The 15,570-nt window shown below is 39.3% G+C and overlaps 1 long non-coding RNA gene and 1 pseudogene across 1 annotated transcript; one reads left to right on the top strand and one right to left on the bottom strand.

Moving 5' to 3' along the window:
* Positions 1 to 2,415: 2,415 nt before the first annotated feature.
* On the bottom strand, positions 2,416 to 15,006 carry LINC01087 (long intergenic non-protein coding RNA 1087). Its single transcript, NR_108087.1, has 2 exons — positions 12,853 to 15,006; positions 2,416 to 3,777 (listed from the first exon to the last, which is right to left on the bottom strand). It is a non-coding gene; the product is annotated as a long intergenic non-protein coding RNA 1087 (long non-coding RNA).
* GRAMD4P8 (GRAM domain containing 4 pseudogene 8) lies at positions 3,648 to 5,327 on the top strand (annotated as a pseudogene).
* Positions 15,007 to 15,570: the final 564 nt, after the last annotated feature.

The raw sequence follows: 15,570 nt of genomic DNA, 5'->3' as shown, positions 1-15,570 counted from the left end.
TACATACCCTATGATTTCATGTATTTGGAAATAAAAACTCACAGATAGTGACTGGAAGTGGATCAATGGTTGCCTGTGGATGGGATGGGGATAGGCAGGAAAAAGTGAGTAGAAAAAACACAAGAAAACTTTGGTGGTAAAGGTAATGGATATGTTTGCTATTTTAATATGTTGCTGGTTTTATAGAGCTACAAATGCCAAGAATTATCAAAATGTACAATTGAAGTGTGTGCAGTTTATTGCATGTAAGTAAACCTTTTAAAAATTAACCGATACAAATTGACTTACATGACTAGAAAGCTCTTGAAAAACTCTCCTATTTTTATTCTTGCATGCCCTTATAGACTGTGTTAACACATTTCTCATCTTACTGTTCTTTTGTGTCTACATTTCTCCAGGTCAATATAACTATCACCATAATTTCTTGGTTTCTCTTTAGTTCATTAGTAATTATGAGTAATGTATTGAAATGTTAAAGATATGTTAATGCATTCAGAATCCTCTGCTCTCTGATCCACATAATAGTGAATTATGCTATCAACAATTACACACAGTATATTGCTTTTTTTTTTTGGGGGGGGGGACAGAGTCGCGCTTGGTTACCCAGGCTGGAATGCAATGGCACATTCTGGGCTCACTGCAACCTCCACCTCCTGGGTTCAAGTGAGTTTCCTGCCTCAGCCTCCTGAGTAGCTGGGATTACAGGCATCTGCCATCATCCCCGGCTAATTTTTGTATTTTTATTGGAGACAGGGTTTCACCATGTTGACCAGGCTGGTCTTGAACCTCTGACCTCAGGTGATCTGCCTGTCTTGGCCTCCCAAAGTGCTGGGATTATAAGGATGAGCCACCACGCCCAGCCAGAATATTCCTAGTTTTGCAAATAGCTACAATTGACCCTGATCTGGACACATTGAGTTGATCATAGCTTTGTAAAAGAGGATAGCATTGTAAAACTACAAAATTAGACTAATAATAAATAACATAGAATGCTTTCAGTATAAGAAATAATACTATCCTAAGCAAAAATAAATAAATAAATAAAACTGGAGGAATTATCTGACTTCATATTATACTACAGAATTATAGTAACAAAAAGAGTATGGTACTGGCATAAAAACAGATCCATAGATCAATGGAACAGAATACAGAACCCAGTAACAAATCTACATACCTACAGTGAACTCATTTTTGACAAAGGTGCCAAGAACATACACTGGTGGGAAATGGTGTTGAAAAAACTGGATATCCATATGCATAAGAATGAAAACAGACTAGTATCTATCACCAAATACAAAAGTAAAATCAAAGTTGTTTAAAGATGTAAAGCTAAGACCTCAAACTATAAAACTAGTACAAAAAAACTTTGGGGAAAATCTCCAGGACATTGGTCTGGGCAAAAATATCTTGAGCAATACCCCACAAGAACAGGCAATCAAAGCAAAAATGGACAAATGGATCGCATTAAGTTAAAAAGCTTCTGTACAGAAAATGATACAATCAACAAAGTTAAGAGACAATCCACAGAATGGGAGAAAATATTTGCAAACTACTCATCTGACAAAGGATTAATAATCAGAATAAATAAAAAGCTCAGACAACTCTTTAAGAAACAATCTAATGACCTGGTTAAGAAAAAGGGGGCAAAAGATTTGAATAGATATTTCTCAAAAGGAGACCTACAAATGGCAAACAGGTATAAGAAAAGGTGCTCAATATCACCGATCATCAGAGAAATTCAAATCAAAACTACAATGAGATATCATCTCACCACAGTTTATATGACTTGTATGTAAAAGACAGGCAATAACAAATGCTAGCAGGGATGCAGAGAAAAGGGAACTCTTGTACCCTGCTCCTGGGAATGCAAATTAGTAAAACCACTAAGGTAAACAGTTTGGATGTTTCTCAATAAACTAAAAGTTTAGCTACCATATGATCTAGCAATCCTACTGCTGGGTCTACACCAAAAATAAAGCAAATCAGTATGTCAAATACATATCTGCACTCCTGTATTTGTTGCAGCACTGTTTACAAAACTAAGATTTGGAAGAAACCTTAGTGTCCATCAACAGATGAATGGATAAAGAAAATGTGGTACATATACACAACGGAGGACTGACTATTCAGCCATAACAAAGAATAAGATCCAGTCACTGTCAGTAACATTGATGGAACATTATGGATCATTATGTTAAGTGAAATAAGCCAGGCACAGAAAGACAAATGTCACATGTTCTCACTAATTTGTGGAATCTAAAATCAAAACAAACTCACGGACATAGAGAGTATAAGGATGGTTATCAGAGGCTGGGAAAGGTAGTCGGTAGGGGCGGTTTGTGGGAAGGTGGGGATGGCTAATGGATATAAAAATAGAGAGTTAATAAGACCTACTATTTGATAGCACAATAGGGTGACTATATTCAATAATAATTTAATTGTACAGTTTGACATAACTAAGACTGTAATTGAATTTTTTATAACTTGAAGGATAAATGCTTGAGGGGAGGGATACCCCATTCCCCATGATGTGCTTATTTCACATTGCATGCCTGTATCAAAACATCTCATGGACCCCACATACTATGTACCCACAACACATACGATGTACCCACAACACATACTATGTACCCACAACATTTTTAAACAATCTAATACAATTTTTTAAATGGCACTTACTTTTTGTTACCTTCAACTATTGTAAAATATGTTCTATTATTTATGATTAGCCCTGTTTGAAAACAAATTTTAAAAACACTATTTAAAACCAAATAAATGGACTAAGAGTAACTTGCATAAAAATGACAGAAATTGCTGCTACTTCTTCTAATTATTGAGATGGTATTTCTGTATTTGTGAATGATCTGATAGAAAATTGAATTGTTTCCAACATTATTTTTCATAATTAAACATGTTATATTGCTACTTCTTTAAAAGTAGCCTTTAAAATATTACCAACCTATTTTAAAGTCTACTTGCCAAAATATTAAACTATTCTTTAAAAAAAGTAATTTATTTAACTACCTAACTTCCTCAAGCAATGTCCTAATTTTCTCAAGCAATTATCTGATTTTCTCAAGCAATTGACATTATCAAGTTGCGCTAGTTAACTGCTGAGAATCATTGTCTACATATGAGATAAATCATCTGTCAATCCTTTAAAGACTTTATGAGCCATAGAGATTGTAGTCCAATCTGTATGATCGACTTTAAACATTGGGTAATTGACACTCCATGTTGCCTGTAAGCCTATTTCACAGCAGCTGAGTGATGTTAATAGGTACTTCTTGGAGTGCCATTTTCCTTATAACTCTTAGATTAATTCAGATTGACTGAGTTCTGTGTCAGTGGAAATTGCCAGAATTATATCATTGTGTTTTGCATCTAGTTTCACTTTTCCAAAAGCCTACACAGATTTCAGATGTTTAGAAAATAGCTCGTTTTCCTTCTGGGTAATCTTTTTCATGTCACCACTCTTGTCAGCATCTACGTTGGGCAAATTTCCTAGAACCTCCCTTCTGCTTCTTTTAAAATACGAAAACAAAATCAACGTAGCACAGCAAGCCAGGGAAAGTCTGCTTTGATTGACTTACGACCATAGTCACCCAGCAGTTCCTTCACATGTGGCTTCCCAAGTCAGACACTGAGTCCACGCGCTGTCCTCCTGCCTGCAGAAGTGGCTCTGAGAGCTGTTTGAGGAGAAAATGTGGGACTTTGGGCTTCAGCCCGAGGAGAACACGGTGGAGATGGAGGAGCCCCTGGGCGTCCGCAGGTTAACTGAAAACATGAGAGGACACAACCTGTCACTAACCTGTAAAGAACTCTGACCAAGCCGACTGGGCACTCTTGTCTGCGCGCCTGCCTTTGCCACCACGTGTGCGGGAATGCCTGGGGCATGACTGGGCCATCCCAGTGTTCTTATTTTTAGCCATTCCGAGGTTACCCCTCAGCAAAACGCTAGAGGCTGGCAGACACAGTGGAGCATCCTGCAGTAGGGATCCGAAGCCGTAGAATCTCCAAAGGGCCACTTGACCACGTCCCAGAAGCTCCAGCTCAGGCTGGACATTGCCCAGAAAGCACAGATCGTCTTTGGCAAGACCTCCCGGATTGTGGTTTTAATTTGCATTTCTCTGATGGCCAGTGATAATGAACATTTTTTCATGTGTCTGTTGGCTGCATAAATGTCTTGTTTTGGTAAGTTGTCTGTTCATATCCTCCCACTTTTTGATGTGATTGTTTTTTTCTTGTACATTTGTTTAAGTTCTTTGTAGATTCTGGATATTAGCCCTTTGTCAGATGGGTAGATTGCAAATATTTTCTCCCATTCTGTAAGTTGCCTGTTCACTCTAATGGTAGTTTCTTTGGCTGTGCAGAAGCTCTTTAGTTTAATTAGATCCCATTTGTCAATTTTGGCTTTTGTTGCCATTGCTTTTGGTGTTTTAGACATGAAGTCCTTGCCCATGCCTATGTCCTGAATGGTAATGCCTAGGTTTTCTTCTAGGGTTTTTATGGTTTTAGGTCTAACATTTAAGTCTTTCATCCATCTTGAAAAGTTAATAATAATAATAATAATAATAATAATAATAATAAAATGGAAGAAATTAAAAAAAAAAAAAAGGCCTCCCGGAGACCAGGAACTTGGTCGGTGCTCGCGGGCTGAGATCGAGCTCTGGGGCGCCTTCCTGTCCTTCTGCTTCTTCCTTGGCCGCCTTAGTGGGCGCGCCTTGCCATGGGTCTCCCTGCGGGCAGCGCGGTGGTGCTCCTGGATGTCACCTCCAGGAGCTTTTGGGACTGCGACCGGCACCGGGCGCACGGCACCCGCGGATTGGCCTCCCCACGCCCGGCTCAGGTACCTCCAGCGCTCCGCAGTGCGGGCTGCAGGCGACCTCAACGTGGAGCTGCTGCCAGCGCCACAGGCCCCAGGGAGGCCCAGGATCTGCTTCCCAGTCCCAAGAAGGGCAGTTTCGGAAAGTCTTTGGCGTGATGGAAGGCGGCGCCCATCCGGGGCGGGGCTGAGAACTAGGCTGGCGCCGCTGCCTGGTAAGCGGGAACCAAGAGACCCACGGCCTCCATCCAGAACCAGGTGCTTCTCCAAATCCCGGACTTCTAGGAGGAGCAACGACGTCAAGCTGCCTGACACCAGGAACACCCATAAGTCCCCGCTCCTGTCTGTCCTTCCGCACTCAGGAGAGGGGATGGCCGCAGGGACGCCATCCGCCCATAAACCGCTGGTGTTTGCTGCCATGGTGCACGGAGATGCGGTCCCCGAGGCCACTTTCGGCCAGGACGCCGGGATCTTATCAGCGGCGGCATCCCGCGCTGACACTCAGTATTGACTTTCCCCAGACATTGCTGGATTTTTTCCTTTTTAAAGCAATTTTGCAGTGGGAGAACAAAAAAGGGCATCCTCAGAGCTTTTGCAAAATTCTCCTGGACCTGTGGTTCTATGGTGTTCACCTCTGCGTTTTACTGACCACTAATGGGCCAGAGCTCCTAAAGCCTATAGGGGTCCCCCTGCCCCACCGGGCGCTTTAGACACCCCTGAGGGACATTCGCAGCTCAGGAGGATAAAGATCCTCAGGGGCCTGCTGCGAGGAGGACATGCAGCCCCTCGGCCGTCACGTCTTCCTCCATTCCAGCCTGGAAAGAGAGACCTTGCCCTCCACCCCACAGGCCTTCATGACCTTGGGACCCACTCTTTAGAGGCCACGTGCGTTTCCACTGCCAAAGCAATGACACAGGAGACGGAAAGAAATTCTTGGCCGGGCGCGGTGGCTCACGCCTGTAGTCCCAACACTTTGGGAGGCCAAAGCGGGTGGATCACGAGGTCAGGAGATCGAGACCATCCTGGCTAGCAAGGTGAAACCCCGTCTCTAAGAACACACAAAAAGTTGGCGGGCACCTGTAGTCCCAGCTACTGGGGAGGCTGAGGCAGGAGAATGGCGTGAACCCAGGAGGCGGAGCTTACAGTGAGCGGAGATCCTGCCACTGCACTCCAGGCTGGGGGACAGAGCGAGACTACGTCTCAGAAAAAAAAAAAAATTTCGCCCTCACTATATGCCCAAGTAATTTCTCGATCAGAGCCCAGAGTCATGGGACCCACACCGCCAGCTGACACATGAAAGTGTGGCAACGATGTGGTGGTGTCTCTGTGTGGCAGCGTGGTGGTGTGTCTGTGTGGCAGTGTGTCCGCATTTGTGTGGTGGTGTATCCATGTGGCAGTGTGTCTGTGTGGTGCTATCTCCACATGGTGGTGTATCTGCATGGTGATGTCTCCGTGTGACAGTGTTTGTGTATGTGTGTGACGGTGTCTGTGTGTCCTTGTGTCCACATGGCAGTGTGGTGGTGTGACAGTGTGGCGGTGTGTCTGTGTGTGGCAGTGTCCATGTGGCAGTGTGTCTGTGTGTTCATGTGTGTGATGGTGTGTCCATGTGACAATGTGGTGATGTCTCTTGTGTGTCTGTGTGTCCCTGTGGTAGTGTGACGGTGTGTCCATGTGGTGATGTCTCCGTGTGTCTGTCCATTTGACAGTGTGGTGATGTCCCCATGTGTCTGTGTGTCCCTGCGATAGTGTGGTAGGGTGTCCGTGTGGTGATTTCTCCGTATGTCTGTGTGTCCGTCCATGTGACTATGCCAGTGTGTCCGTGTGATGGTGTGTCCATGTGGTAATGTCTCCATGTGTCTGTACATGTGAGTCTGGTCGTGTGTCCATGTGGCAGTGTCTCCGTGTAACAATGTGGCGGTGTTCCCTCCCAGCTTGCGGAGCTGGCATCTTTCCCTCTCAGCCCAGGATGCCTCAGGAGGCCCCAGCTTGAACATAAAATATTGATATTTTACACATTTGCACATAATTAGAATTTCGAAGCCGTAATTGCAGATAAGGTAGTCTAGGACATGACAATATTGATGTAAGAAAGCCATAAGCAATGTTTATTTTCAATCAGATTTACTAAAAAATTTTATTGAACTGGTCAATTTTCTTTGCCAATATTACTGTATTCTTATTTCTAGTAATAGAAGTGTGAAAAAGCATCAGGGAAACTTAAACTGCATTCTCATACTGACTGCATACAACAATTCTGAAAACAGCGGAAGTTATATATATCCCCCATAAGTAAAACATGAGTAACACAACAAAAGAAAAATAGGAGACAATTCAAATAATGGTGACTTGTTATTCTCATCTAGTTAAGTACTATTATTTTCTAACAGCAATTTGCTATTTCAAATATATTAACTGAGATGTCTATATATTTATATTTTGAGACGCTATACAAATTTGAGCCAATGACATAGAATTCTACAAATCAAGAAGCTTATTCTGGGGCCATTTCTTTTGATGTTTTCTCTAAACTACTAAAGAGGCATTAATGATCCATAAATTATATTATCTACATTTACAGCATTTAAAATGTGTTCAGCATGAGATATTAGCTACAGGAGAAGCTAAATAAATTAAACATGGAATAAAGATTTGTCCTTAAATATAATTTACAAGAAGACTTTGATATTTGTTTTTCACAAGTGAAGCATTCTTATAAAGTGTCATAACCTTTTTGGGGAAACTCTGGAGAAAATGGAGAAACTCTGAAGGGTTTTAAGTACCTTTCCTGAAGCTGCAGACTCCATAACCTCTCTTTACAAAGAGCTCCTGCAGCTCCTACAGAAATGAGTGGCTGAGATTCTTGATTGCATAGCAGAGCTTCTCATCCAAACCCTTTCCCTTTTTAGTGTCTGTGTATCAGTATAAAAGTTCTATAAACTGTAGTTACTTATTTTAATCCCAAAGCACAGTAACAATATATTTCATCCTAGGGTTGGCAGTTTCTCTAAGTGTTTTGTTTAATTATCATGATAATATCTGCAGGATTCCAAAGAGCCTAAAAAGTAAAATATTTTAAAAAGAGGAAAGGGAGAAAGGGAAAGAAAATAAAATGAATAGCCCATTCTGTCACTATTATTAAATAGAAGAATACCTTCCTGTTAATCTAATTAAAATTAGTGACATCATTTAAAATTTATGTCTTCAACAAAAGTTTGGAATCCTGAAAAAGACCTTTAATTTGCTAATAAACATATTTGAATTGAATTGAAGTCCTTATATATTACTTTAAATAAATAACACAAGATGAATTATGATGTAGAGAATTCTATCCCTCATTGTCCAAAATCTAATAGTTAAATTGAACTTGTTAAATAATATTTTTGTCCAGGCATGAGGCTTACACCTGGAATCCCAATAGTTTGGGAGGCAAAGGCAGGTGGATTGCTTCAGCTGAGGAGTTGCAGACCAGGCTCGGCAACATGGTGAAACCCAATCCTTACAAAAAAAAAAAAAAATTTAGCCAGGCATAGTGGCTTGCCTGTAGTCCCAGCTACTCAGGAGGATGAGGTGGGAGGATCACCTGAGCCTGGGGAAGCTGGGGTGCAGTAAGCCATGATTGTGCCACTGCACTCCAGCTTGGGCAACAGACTGAGACCCTGTCTTGAAAGAAGGAAGGGAAGGGAAGGGAAGGGAGGGGAGGGGAGGGGGAAAAAGGAGAGGAAGGAAGGAAGGAAGAAAAATAACGGTTTTGGTGCCAATAATCTTTGTGGAATTTTGCTTTAATGAAATAGATTTAACTAAGTAGTGACATGATCTGCTTAAGTGTATTGACCCTAGCAATCAGAGGCATCTGAATTCCCACAATGACTTGACAGTTACATTTGACATTCTCCTATCATACCTACGGCATAGTCAGAATTTCAGAATTCCAACTTTCCCTATGCTATTTGAGCACATTGTTTAACATCTCTAAGACTCGATATTTTTACTCTTAAGATACTACTAATAATAGTACATAGTTTTTATGATATAATGTGTATCAAAAGCATTATACTTTCAGGCAGACAGCAATTTCTCAATAAATATTTACTAATGTTTTAGTACAAACAGGAAAATTGGATTATGATATTTATGACACTGTTGATTCTCCTTCTAGAAACATTTGTTTCTAAAACTTGTTTTCATGTTAGAGCACTATTTTGTGTTCAAATTGAAAATACTATATGTTCAGATTTTTTAAAAAACAGTATTGCATGAATGTTTTAATAAAAATATTCCTAAATGAGCTTGAGCAAGTACAGGGAAGATAAGTAAAGTAAGGCTTTGTGGCATAGGAGACATTTGGTGGACATCTTTCAGCTCAACTAAGATTTGAAAAAAAAAAAAGAATTTTTATAAAAAATGTAAAGGCAGGATTTACCCTGATGAGCTTGTGGAGAAAATACAAAGTCTAACATAATTCAAAAGAGACTAATCAGTCAAAGTAGTTTTGAAGGAAATATCTTGAAGAGAGAGAACATAAAATGAAGATCAGGTATGTAATTATTTTAATAATCTATCCATGAGATAAAAAGCATTGGGTTTTTTTTTATTTGTCAAAAACAGACAATAGTTTCAAAAACCATTCTTTGTTGAGCCTAAAGAGGATTTTACATTTTGAGCCAGTGACATATTGTGCTAAGTAGGATAATATCCTAATTTATGTCTATATCAACAATTTTGTTCTCAATAAAAACACTTTATTCACACAACTGATGATCATCTGCATTTGATTTAGTGCTGAACTGTCAAAGGGGGGCTAACAAAAACAAAATATTAGAGTTGCAAGCGGCGTAAGTGGAAAATAATGATCATATTCAACTCATTACTGAAATAAGAAAACAAAGCAAAAAATAAATAAGAAAAAAATTGAACATGAACATTTGCTTCTCTCCTAAGAATCAAAACCCTTAATTTTCTGTGGCAAAAAAGCATCTGGGTCCATGAACCCAAGCAAAAGTCTACTGTTTCTGGGAGATAAGAAGAAGCAAAACACATCAGCTTTCAGAGAAGGTTAAGAAACCTCTCATACCCTACCCTATCCCATCTGAGACCAGGTAAAGGATCACTGCTTCTGGGGGAGGGATGTAAGAAAAATACTTCTCCATCAGGACAGGAACAAGGATTGTTTTGGGGCCCACGATTTTGCACTAATGCAGAGTTGTGCTACTGTGGTAAAGGGTTGGAAAATCTCCATCCAGTGACCACAGACAAAGGTGCATTGTTCCTATGGAATGAGAAATAAAATAGTATGTCCTTATTGTGGGGTTGAAAATTTGCAATGATATAAATCAAAGGTTTTCTACCACTGAGGTGGGAGGAGGGCAAGGTATTATTTCTTCCTCAAAAAACAACACAGATAAGAGACAGTTTGACTCCCACTAGAATAAGAGTCAGGAAGTGCTAAAAATATCCCTTCTCTGAGTGTCCAATGATGAAACTGGCTCAAAAATAACATGAATCATCCCTCTGCCCCCAACCTAAATTTTCTGCCTAGTCACACACACACACAAAATGATGTTCTACAGTTAGAGAGGAACAAGAAATTGGAGAGAGACCCTCCTATGACATATGTGGTAAGGACTACAGAAAGATAACTGTGCAACCGGAGCACTGGCATATGCCCTCCAGAGCCTAAGGCCCCACACAAGGCACATGATATAGCAGCCTACTGCTGGAGAAATCTTGAGTTACATGGTTCACTGAATGTTTCAGACACCGCAGCAAAAAACAACCTTTGTTCCTGCCCACACTAATAGCATGACACAAACCAAAATGAAACATAAATATAAAACAATCTCGACATAAATAATTATCTCATCATCTACTGTTTTTCTACATCTGATGATGTGCATTTTTTAGAAATTGGAAAACACATAAAAGCAAGTTAGAAATTTGAGTTGTGAGTTATAATATTTTCAAAAGATAAAAAGTCAACAGAATCAAATTCAGAGATAATTCAGATGTTGGAACTAAATGCAAGTAATTTAAAATAATAATGATCAAAATGTTAAAGAATCTAGTTAAAAAAAGACAACATGTAGGGAAAAATGAGGAATTTCAGCAGAGATAGAACAGTAAAAGGCAAAAGCTAGAAATAAGTGAAAGCATGAGAACAGAGATGAAGAATTACAACAGCAGGCTGATTAGCAGACTGGTCATCAGAGCTAAAGAAAGAAAGCAGTAAATTTTATGCTATGTCAATACAAATTATTTGAATGGTAGCACAAAGGGAGAAAAGAGAAAAACAAAATAAACCAATGAGCCAAGCAAATAAAATACTCCAGTGAATCCAAGAATTCTTGGGTAATATGAAATTAACTAAAATACAATTAATTGGAATTCCAGGAGAGTAAAAACAGAATGTGAGAGAAGAAAAATTTGAAAAAGATGACTAAGGAGACCAAATAACCTCAAAAAGATCCAAGAAAGATTAATACAAAACTTAAAGAACGCTAGAATAATCACACAGTCAAACTGCTGAAAACCAACGATTAGCATAAATCTTGAATTCAGTCACAGAAAAATAGGAACACTGTGTAGAGAGATAAACAGAAACAGAAATTACAGTGAACTGCTTGTCAGCAACTCTACAAGTCAGAAACCAATGATACAAAATTTTTAAATAACTGAAAAAAGTCAACCCCCAATCTTATATCCATTAACTATATCGCGAAAATAACAATTAAATGAAGACATTTTCAGATTAACACTGGAAGAGTCCCTTGCTAACAGGTCTGCACTAAAATAAATGTCAAAATCATTTCTTGAGGCAAAAGGAATATGGAAGCAGATGAAAGTTGAAACTACACAAAGAAATAAAGAGTGCCAGAGAAGATACAAAGATATATTACCCCATTATTTTACATTGCTCTAAAGATAATTGTCTTACTTTTTTTAAAAAAAGAGTAACTTTATATTATGGAATTCGTAATATTTGATACCATAATGCATGACATAAATAGTATAAAGGAGAGAGGAAACAGAAATATACATTTTAAGGTTTTTACACCATAGTTGGTATAATACAAATTATAGGTTACTGTAATAAGCTAGAATAGGTATTGGAATCTCTAGAGAAACCATGAACATTTTCAAAAGATGGTATGTGCATTAATATTTTCATAGAACTTCCAGCTTTTTTCTTCATTTAATTTTATTTATTTATTTATTTACTTTTGAGATGGAGTCTCGCCCTGTTGCCCAGGCTGGAGTGCAATGGCCTGATCTCAGCTCACTGTAACCTCCACCTCGCAGGTTCCAATGATTCTCCTGCCTCAGCCTCCCAAGTAGCTGGGATTACAGGTGCCCACCACCATGCCCAGTTAATTTTTGTATTTTTAGTAGAGACGGGGTTTCACCATGTTGGCCAGGCTTGTCTCAAACTCCTGACCTCGTGATCAGCCCACCTCAGCTTCCCAAAGTGCTGGGATTACAGACTTGAGACACCATGCTAGGCCCCAGCTTTTATTTTTTCAGGTAGTTGTTGTGTTATTACATGTGAAGTAAGGTTATTCTTAAATATCCATGTTTTGAGAATAATGACAAATTAATTTATCTCAATCTAAATAACATTTTAATATTGAATATTTAAATATTTTTATTATTTTTAACAGAAGTCATTCTAACTCGTGTGAGATAGTATCTCACTGATGTTTTGTTTTGCATTCTCTAATGATTAGTGATGGTATGCATGTGTTAATATGTTTGTTGGCCACATATGTGTTCTTTTGAAAACTGTCTGTTCATGTTCTTTGCCCATTTTTTAATGGGGTTATTTTTTGCTTGTTGATTTGTCTAAGTCTCTTATAGATTCTGGATAGTAGGCCTTTGCTGTATGCATAGTGTGTGAATGTTTTCTTCCATTCTGTACGCTGTCTGTTCAATCCCCCTTGAGAGTTTCTCATGCTGTGCAGAAGCAGCTCTTTAGTTTAATTAAATCACACTTGTCAACTTTCATTTTTCTGGCAATGCTTTTGAGGACTTACCCATAAATTCACTGCCAAGTGCAATGTCCAGACGAATATTTCCTAGGTTTTCTTCCACGATTTTTATAGTCAGAGGATGTAATCTTATGCCAATGGGTCTTAATAATCAAATGACTCCACAGTAAGAATCATTACTCTGAAAAATTGATTTTGTTATAATGATGGAAATTTAAATATTTGAAAGTAAAAACAGATGCCACCTTTTTGCTAGAACTCTACAAGGCAAATTGCTATAAGAGAGGCAGAGGAAACACAATATATATATCCAAAATATAATTTGCAGTGAAATAAATGAAAGCACATTATAAATAAACTTACCTGATTTTACAAACTAACCTGTAAAGGGATTTCTACTAATTTTTCTATTGCCTGCATTGCCCTTTCTTCTACATCCAATTTATATTTTTGTACTTCACCAATGTGTCTTCACCAATGTGCAGTTTCCATGTTTTTTAAGATTTAATATTACTTCTTCCAACATCTTTTTATCCTCCTCAAGTTTTTTATATTCTGGTTGTACTTTTTTCATAGATAATAACTCCTGTTGAATAACTTCTTCTTAGTCAAATAGACATATTTTGAAGATACAGCTTCCAGCTTTGCTGTAAGATCATCAAACTACATTAATAAAATAATATAGCTTGATAATGAAATAGGCTGAGAATAATCTCATACAAAACCAATAACAAATTCTGAAATACATTTACTTGCAATAAAATGTTATCTATAATGTAGATTCTTTAAATGTTAACTCGTACTCAAAAATTCAAGAACAAAGTAAAAGCCACCATGAGTCACAAACATATATTCTTTACTCTCATCATCTTTGCCACAGAACTTTTGCACTTGATCTTACTTTTATATTTTTCTGATAATTTGTGTTTTTTCCTTCTTAAATGGGTCTAAGTTAATTCTTATTAGAAAGTTTCAAACCCCCTTCTCTCATCATCATGCCCCAAAATTTGTCAAAAAAAGTTTCAGAGATATTATATTGAGTTATTTAGGCCAAAGTCAATAAATGGCTCTTAGAATAAGACTTTGAAACTAATGTAATACTCTACGCTAGGCATGGTGCATCATGCATGTAATCCTAGCACTTTAGGAGGCTGTGGCAGAAAGATCACTTGAGGTCAGGAATTTGAGATCAGCCAGAGCAACATAGTGATACCATAATCTCGACAAAAAAAAAAAAAAACATGTAAAAAAATTAGCCAGGCATGATGCCTTATGCTTGTAGATCCAACTAGTTGGGAGATTAAGGCAAAAGGATGGCTTGGACTCAGAGTTCAGGGCTGTGGTGAATTATGATCAAACCACTGCACTTCTGCCTCGATGACAAAGACCGTATCTCAAAAAAACACAAAATAATCCTATAAATAAGTATTCTAATGCCACAAGCCTTTTCCTAGGCTGTAAATGTTTTATGCTAATTTGAATTGCATTTTAAAAAGTAATGATTCTTGGGGTAAAGGACATAGAATACAGCATTGAGAAATAAATCCACTTATTTACCTTACCAGAAATAAATCCACATTCTTGCGTTACAAGAGCTCCTGAAGTAAGCACTAAACGTGGAAAGGAACAACCAGTACCAGCCACTACAAAAACATACCAAATTGTAAAGACCATTGACACTATAAAGAAACTGCATTAACTAATGGGAAAAATTAAAAACTAGCAACATCATGACAGGATAAATTTCACATGTAACAATACTAAACTTAAATGTAAATGGGCTAAATGCCCCAGTTAAAAGACACAGACTGGCAAGTTGGATAAAGAGTAAAGACCCAATGGTGTCCTGTATTCAGGAGACCCATCTCATGCGCAAAGACACACATAGGTTTAAAATAAAGGGATGGAGGAATATTTACCAAGCAAATGGAAAGCAAAAAAAAGCAGGGTTTGCAATCCTAGTCTCTGATAAAACAGACTTTAACTGAAAAAGATGAAGAGAGACAAAGAACAGCACTACAAAGCAGTGCCATCAGCTTTTCCTCACGCCTCTGCTCCATCAGCCATCAGGTGGCAGCCACTCAGGCTGTTGGAACCTGGCCATCCCTGCTTCTTTGAGTGGGTGAGGTTGGTGGCTGCTCCACCTGCTCCTGGCACACCCTTGCAGAGGTGGCTGGTTGCTCTTTGAGCCAGCTTGGCCTTGCCTGGCATGCACAGGCCCCGGGGACCGACATGCTGCTCTAAATGAGATTATCCTGACTCTGTCAAATTCTACGTCTGGCCTGGGCCACAGAAGCCCAAGTCCCCTGGGTGGTAATACTAGCTGCTTTCTGGACTGGAACATAAACTCCTCAAGACGACCTGTGGTCTGCCTCTTGGCAACCAAGAAGCCTGCAGTGTCATATGACCCATGAGGCATGGACGGAAGGCCCAAAGGCAGCGCACACCCTGGTCCTGAGCCTGCTGCTCCTTTCCTCTATATGGCTCCATTTGTAGCACAGTTGTTGCACTGAGGCTTGTGCATGCCGGGCAAGGGCAAGCTGGCTCAAAGAGCAACCAGCTATCTTTGCACGGATGTGCCAGCAGCAGGTGGACCAGCCACCAACCTCACACGCTGCCAGTCAGGCTAAATCAGTTCTTCTACCATAAAGATAGGGCCACAGTGCCATCTGGTTTTCCTAAGGCCTCTGCTTCATCAGCCATTAGGTGGCACACACTCAGGCTGTGGGAACCTGGCCATCCCTGCTTCCTTGAGTGGGTGAG

The sequence above is a fragment of the Homo sapiens genome, chromosome 2 (assembly GCF_000001405.40).
Source record: "Homo sapiens chromosome 2, GRCh38.p14 Primary Assembly".
NCBI classification, from domain to species: Eukaryota; Metazoa; Chordata; class Mammalia; order Primates; family Hominidae; genus Homo; species Homo sapiens.
The sequence above is the reverse complement of the archived record's forward strand: the minus strand, read 5'-3'. Positions and strand labels throughout refer to the sequence as shown.